The 7,995-nt window shown below is 39.2% G+C and overlaps 1 long non-coding RNA gene across 1 annotated transcript; it reads left to right on the forward strand.

The window, feature by feature from the left end:
- The first annotated feature begins 1,020 nt into the window (after nucleotides 1-1,020).
- LOC107987189 (uncharacterized) lies at nucleotides 1,021-3,381 on the forward strand. Its single transcript, XR_001749965.1, has 2 exons — nucleotides 1,021-1,366; nucleotides 3,231-3,381. It is a non-coding gene; the product is annotated as an uncharacterized LOC107987189 (long non-coding RNA).
- Nucleotides 3,382-7,995: the final 4,614 nt, after the last annotated feature.

A 7,995-nucleotide genomic window follows, 5' to 3' on the forward strand; every position in this document is an offset into this window, starting at 1 on the left:
ACATGGTGAAACCCCATCTCTCCCAATAATACAAAACTTAGCTGAGTGTGGTGGCACGTGCCTGTAATCCCAGCTGCCAGGGAGACTGAGGCATGAGAATGCCTCATTCTCACAGGAGGCGGAGGTTGCAGTGAGCCAAGATCATGCCACTGCACTCCAGCCTGGGCAACAGGGTGAAACTGTGTTTCAAAATAAAATAAAATAAAATAGATAAACAGGGAAACCGTTCTTACAGCATACACTTTAAGAAAAAAAAATGTTATCAAATTAAGCTAAGGGTTCACACTAGTGAGTGAAGGATAGGAAGCCAAAAGAGAGAGTGAATCGTAAATTTCTCTCAATTCTGTTCACAGATTTCATTTCCCAAAGTGCCAAATTATTTTGGTTTCACTAGACTTAATCCCAAACTCAAAACTTCACTTCATTAAAATAGCAATACCTGACATTCTCTGAGGCTATTTCAGACCGTTTTAAACCTTCAGCAAAGCCCTTTTAATAGTTTCAAACAAGTTACACATCAAAAGAGCTATCGAGGCTGCCTGACAACAAAACTCATTACATGACATAAATGTACCGCAAAACCTTAGCAAATCAGATGTTTATTCAAATATAAAAGTTTTTCCCCACTAAAATACTTAAAAGAACGTATGATGTGGAAATATCATATAAAATGCCCTTTTAGACTATCTTGCCTTGTTTAACATACTCATATTTGTGAAAAAAACCAATTTACCTCTGCAAATTGTGTAATCATCAAAATGAATGCTTTAGCAAATCTCTTTGTTTCCTTTTCTACCACCCCATGCATGTTGTAACATGATTTCTGATTTTGTGACCTGGAGCTGATTTTTTTTTTTTTTGAAACCACGAAGATCTGTTTGGCATTATCCACGTGAGTATCCGCCCTGCTGAAGAGCCCTCCACTCTATTCCCAGCACTCCAGTTTGATGGAAGAGCCTTTCAACCTTCCCACGTCAGAATGCATTCTGATGTCAGACTTGTTCTTATCATGATGAAGACCATAGTCTTACTTATTCTAGAAAAGTATTTGGTTACATGCTAACAAACCTACAATAAAAATCAGGAAGAATACTTATAGCCTATGTTACTGGACTATTTTCTACGTAAGAATTAGATAAACTCTAAAATCTCACTAAGTTCACTATCACTAACACTGATGCAGGATTTTTCTTCTTGGTCATTTTGCAAGCCGGGGACCCCCGGCCAGTGACACTCCACCCGGGCCTCGCTCGGCCACGCTGGCATGCCCCAGCTCACCTATGTTATAGCTTGTACCTGCATTCGGTGGTTCCCGAGCTCTGGTACTGCACCCAAGAAGAATAAGGATACGCTGGGCATTGAAGTGGTAAGGAGGGCGAAGAAGAGTTTTATTGAGCAATGAAAACGGCTTTCAGCGGAGAAGGGATGCATGGTTGGTCCCCCTACGCAAAGGCAGGAAAGTTCCCCCAAGTGGTTGGGTCTGGGGCCTGTTATGGACTCAGAATGGGGAGTGCATGCTGATTGGTTTGTGAGCATGTAAAAAAGGTTAAAGCAAAGACACCACTCAAAGGTGGGCACGACAGTGTAGAAAACCAATTAAGAAAGGGTAGGTATATGTAAAATAGGTGAAGGGTAGGGCCCAATCAGAGGAAAGCTTGCCAAACAGGAAGACAAGTTCTCAATCCGGTGGGAGGGTTTAACTTGCAGCTTGGCTTTCAGGCTTTAAACTGTCTTTGGCTTGGAGGTGGGGTTTCACCAGGGACCCACCCCTATATGCCGAGGCATTTTCCTGCCTCCTGTTGCTATCAACACTAATAGATCATCCTACAGTAGTGATTGTACCATCATAAATATCAAATACGTTTTAAAGGCATGTTTTCCACTATGAAAGTAACACTAAAGAAGAAAACAAAATTTTATCATGGTTTTATACAGTGACTCTTTCAACAGTGACTAATTCTTATATGGAAATTTCAGGGCTTAGGCACTTTCCCTCCAATCTACAAGTTTTTCCTCAATGTAACTTGCCTTGAGATGTGATGATAAATGATTGATACCCTATTTAGTTACCGGGCTCAGTATTTACTGATATTCAATACATACTAATTGATAATGGGTTTTTTCTCTTCAGTATGTACTAGTGTCTAATATTTTTATTCATGCTTTATCATTCACTTGAAAATAATGATTACAAATAAGTTATATATCCTTCACAGCTTCAAACTCATAAAAAAACAATTTTAGTGGAAAACCTGCTGGTTTCTAAAAACAAATAGTAAAGGAAGCTTTAGAATTTAATGTATTTGTGTGTGTGTGTGTGTGTGTGTGTGTGTGTGTGTGTGTGTGTGTGTTTCAGCCTGCATGTTGACTTGTGGAGTTGTTTACTCTGAAGCCTACAATCATTTAATTATTTGTTTAAACCAGTATGGAAGCTTCTCACTATGGTGTTTTAATTTATGGCCTCAATCTGTACTAAAGATTTGTTAGATAACCTCACCCCTCCTATTCGGTCATGACTGATAAAAGTGTCAAATAATCTCATAGGGAAAGGCAACACTATCCATGTAACACTTCACATTTTACAGCCAGCTTTCATATCGCAGAAATCATAAAACAAAGATGTTGATTAGCTCTAAACATCTCAGAAATCCCCCAAAATTTGCAACCTTTTCTACTCGGCAAACAGCCAGGCATTTATAGGACAATCTTCAAAAAATCAATTGGACTGTGAAGGGTTAATCTGACCAAGAATAAACAGACCACTTCTGGTGAAACTGTAGGGAACTATTTTCAACTATAACAGAAGGAAAATAACTGAGTTTCATGAGCATATTGGAACTGGCACGAGATTTCAAAGCCATCCCATTTAGTAGTGCTTATACCAATACAGCACAGCATTACAATGCTTTAAATCGAACATCGAAATGCCAGTATAATAATTATCTCTACCATTCTCTAAGGTAGTGACTAAATAAAGTCAAAAACATTCTTAAAGCCAAAATAAATATAAGCCTGTTTCCACTTTCAAAATAGCTGTACCTTTGGTTGGAAATCATCCCAACCCGGCTCTATCTGACCCATACTAAGACTGGACCACCTCGGGGCTTCCTGTAGGCTACTATTGTCCTGTCTTATTAACTTTAAGATCAGCTATGAATTCCAAAACGTTTATGTCTCTTCTATACAGTGCAAGTCCTTTATGAAAAATCCCCTTTTTCAATCCATTGCAGGAACCAAGGGCGGGTAATATCAGAAGAAAATCGTGCGATGAAAATGAAGATCAGAAGCGCATACTGAACAAGCAACTGACTTTGTTAATCTCTTGAAAAATAGCATCAAGGGGGATGTTTTTAAATTAAAGAAGAATGATTTTGCTTTTCATTCATTGTTGTTTTTCTTCCTGCAATATCTCTGGAGGCATGTGATTTAAGGATTGTGAAATCAGTGGGCATAGAGTAATGTGATATTTAACACAGACAGCTCTGGAGTAAGACAGTCTAGGTTTAAATCCTGGCTATGAGAATGGAGAGAGGGCACATAAAGTTCTTTGCATCATGGCTGGCACACAGTCTGTGCTTAAAAAAATGATATTATTATTATTACAAATAGTGTTTCACACAGATGTTGATTGGATAGACAGATGCTTGTTTCAAATAAAAGAAAACAGTTCCTGCAGGCAAACAGCTCAATTGGTATAGACATAAGTCTCTTGTTCCACCTGTTTGCCATTATTTATCTGCCTGAGAAGACTATGAAATGTTGAACCAGAAAATACCCAGAAAAACAACAGCCCAGAAGATCAGTGCAAAAGAACTGGGATAATTAGAAAAGCTGGCTATTCTAGTTCTGGCTTTAATGTGCTCAAATTTCAAACCACGCAGTGTTTTAAAAGTCAACCCATAAAAATCCTTCAATCCTAGGAGTTTCCCTCCTAGCCTCTGAAGGCATTCAGAACCTGTCACCCCAAAATGTGGCATATTGATTATTTTGAGCTAAAAGAAATGAAGAACAAGCCACCACAAGAAAAGTTATTTACCTCCCCATCAACTGCCTAAAATAAGATATAAATTTCCCCTTTCATATAGGAAATTTACATTTATAAGGAAAACTTACATTAGTAACTAGTTATCTGTACCAGGAAGAGAGCTACTCTGAGAAAATTTGCCACCTGAGAGACTTAACTACATAACAAGACAAGCTTCCTTCACTATGCATTTCCCCTACCCCTTACTTTCCCATAATTTACCTCCACCACCACACAGAAACACCCCACCCTTACTCCACTTCTTACCTCCACCACCACACAGAAACACCAAACCCTCACTCCACTTCTTTGAGTCTCATATTTTTGTGGGACTCCCATGTGTATGTATATAATTAAAATGGTTTTTCTCCTGTTAATCTGTCTTATGTCAATTTAATTCATAGACCAGTCAAAGAACCTAGAAGGATAGAATGAACAATTTTTCCTCTCCTATATCTCTTAGTGTTGGAGATTTAAAGATCTCTATCTTAAAATCTATTGGGCTGTTAAATAAAATTTATAGGAGTCCACTGATGCGGGCGGAGCTCCTGCACCAGGCCCAAGAGACTAAATCAAAATGGAGTGATTCATGCTGAAGTTCCACACCAACAAGCTGAAACTAAGTTGTATTCCTTCTGAGAAATCAGGAGAGAGAGAGATAATAGCCAAATCTCCAAACAGGCCAGGTTAGCTTGAACATGATAAGAAAGTCTCCTCCGCTTTAACCTTTACAAGGAAAGTAACTTTGAAATGACTAATACGCTTTTTCTCTGTTGCTGCTTTCCTCGGCCTCTCTCTGTCTAAAACCCAACCTCCTCTGCTCAGTTTATCAGACCATTTATTCTATTTTATATGCTGAGGTGTTGCCCAATTCTAGAATCACAACTAAAAGCTAATTAAGATCTTTAAACTAAATTTGTTGTGATTTTGGCTTTTGACAGGGCTAATAATAATGATACATGTCTCATTTTCATTTCAAAGCACTTGCAAGTAGGAATTATTCTACTTCATTGATTAAGAGATTGAGAGTCAGAAAGTTTTGATAATTTATCCAAAGTACACACCTACCAAGTGGTAAAGCCGGGACTCAATTCCAGGTCTTAGATTGTGCTTTCAGAGTAACTTGACCATTACTTCAACAACAACAAAAGTTGTATAGAATAGCTACTATATTGTCAGGCCCTGTTTGTTTCTAGAAATACAACTGTCAATACTGCCCTCAAACTGTTGTTGATCATCTAATACAAAAGACAGACAAACACACACACACTGTGAAAACTGTGGATTCCTGGGACCCATCCCAGATTCAATAGATCTTGGTTAGGTGCCAGCAATCTGCACTTTTAGCAAGTCTTCCCAGGGTAATTCTCTGAGACAACACCTGGAGAAGGATTATAATGGAGTCAGGTTTAGAAACAGAAAGGAAGTTTTCCTAGGAAGATGATTCCTAAGTTGAGTTTTGAAGAATCAGTGGGAGTTGGCTAAGCAGAGTGGCAATGAAGAGAGAACAGTTTAGATATAAAAACAGAATCAATCAAACTTTTGAGAGATGGAAATCACTTGGAAAAATAGCAGTTTGGTGTAACTAAACTAAAAGGAGGTAGAGGGGAAAAGACTTAGAGGAAATAACTATAGAGGTAGATAAGGCCTAGATTCCTAGAAGCAAACAGAAAACCAGGGCAGCTGGAGGTGGGCTATGAGCACAGGAACAAAGGGGCCCGACCATGGGTCGCTGCCTCCCATTCTCCTTGGAATCTCAGGTTGTGCTATACAGAGACTTGTGTAAGTTTATTCCTGAATAATTAGATTTCCCTTGAAATGGCCTGATTCCATTAAAATGTGTCTCTAAGGAGCATTTGAACCAAGCCAGTAGCAGGCTTCAACATACAAAACACATATTTTACTATGAAATGGTGAATCTTCAAATTAAGTAAGTCAATAGAAGTTACAAAGCTAATGAAAGTGCAGCAAAGCTGAACCCCAATTAGTAGCCCTTAATCTTCTGCTCTTTGCCTTTCCCAATCTGAAGTTCTTTCCCCTCAGGTAAACTGAGCAAATGTAAAATCATTATGCCAATGACCTTGTCCTGCTTAGAGGCTTCCTGAATCTAAACCGTTGTCAATATTCCCTGGGCTCCAGGTATTAAGAGCACACCTCTTTAACATGCACCCTCTCCACTTCACTCACAGGGAATGACGTCTGTTCTCCAGAGTCTTTTTGAAGAAAGTGCTAGAACAGAATGAATGTATCCAATGACACAGAAACATGCAAACTTGTTTAGTGGCATGGTTATTGATTGTTAGGGAAAGAAAAGAAGGCTGACTTTGCGACTCAGGAAGATGGAGAGGCTCAATTTTAGCTGTCTGAGGCAAAGAAGCAGTGGAGTTTATCTGCAGCCAAATTTAGACCTCTCTGTCAGCCAGCTGGGGGTATTCCCACATGAAGGGCTAATACAAGAGATTCCATTAAGCAGAAGAAATTACCTGGTGGCCGGCTGCTTCTGCGTCTTGCATTATTTTCATGTGAACAGTTATTTTTTTTCTTGCGAAACTTTCCCATTTACTGCAAGATGTTTGTCATTCCTACACTAATGCCAGAAGTGGCCACCGGTCATTATGACAATCCAAAATAACTCCCACATTTCCAAACTGTCCCTAATGGAGATGCTAGTACCCCAACCCCACCTTGAGGACCACTGAATAGAATCTTAAATCCCTGGCAGGGACCAACAAGCTCATCAAGTTCCACATCTCCATTTTGTAGTAAAGTGAAATCCATTCTAAACTTTATTAAGTAGGGACAGGCCTAGAACACAGTTTTCACGACTCTCATGCAAACACTTATTCTCTAAATCTTGAGGGTGCCAAACTCTAAAAAACTTCGCTGCTTTCCTACTGAAATCTCTCATTTACATCATCTAAAAACTCTCTGTTGAACAAGTAAATGCAAATTTCTGGCAACTTCTCCCTTTGGCAATGTATGCTGTAATACCTTTTTCTCAAACTTAAAGTACTGGCTAGTACTGAGGCCAACAGGGAAAAACTAGGTTTACAGCTGGCAACAAACCCAGGCATCTTCAGACGGACTGTGTGGGCAAGACTAATGAAAAAAGAAAATAAATATCTAGACTTACCCTCATGAAACTTCAGAATAACAAGCATAAAACAAGAACTTAAAAACTTCCACAGAGATGAAAAAACAAATTTCTTCAAAGGAATAATAAGCAAATTGGCATCATACTTCTCATCAAAAACACTGGATTATAGTACCAGCGGTGCCAGTAAACCTTATTACTCAAAAGGTAAAGAAACAATATCTTCCACATTTTGATTAAAAAACATAAAACTAGAATTCTTTTTCACTCAAAGGAGAAGATAAAATAATTTGTTTTTTTTTTTTTGAGATGGAGTCTCACTGTTGCCCAGTCTGGAGTGCAGTGGCGAGATCTCAGTTCACTGCAACCTCTGCCTCCCAGGTTCAAGCAATTCTCGTCACTCAGCCTCTCAAGTAGCTGGGATTACAGGCATGCGCCACCATGCCAGGGTAATTTTTTTGTATTTTTAGTAGACATAGGGTTTCACCATATTGGCCAGGCTGGTCTCGAACTCCTGACCTTGTGATCCACCCGTCTCAGCCTCCCAAAGTGCTGGGATTACAGGCGTGAGCCACTGCACCCGGCCTAAATAAAAATTTTTTATACATGCAATAAAAAAGTTTACCTAATATATGACCCCCCAAAAATTGATGTGTTCCATCAAAAAAAATAAAAGCTCAAGAAAGATATTAGTTTCATAATGTAATGCAACTAACCAAAGAGTCCAACAAAGAGCATTCTAAATCTTGGGATGCCAGCCATGCAACACATCTAGGAATCCACTGTCATAGTGCATCATGCATGTTGGAAGGCTCAGTGAGGGGAGGCCACTTATGGAATGGGGCGGGGGAAAGGGCAGCTTTGGGATCTCTTTCAC

Source organism: Homo sapiens, chromosome 13, assembly GCF_000001405.40.
Source record: "Homo sapiens chromosome 13, GRCh38.p14 Primary Assembly".
NCBI classification, from domain to species: Eukaryota; Metazoa; Chordata; class Mammalia; order Primates; family Hominidae; genus Homo; species Homo sapiens.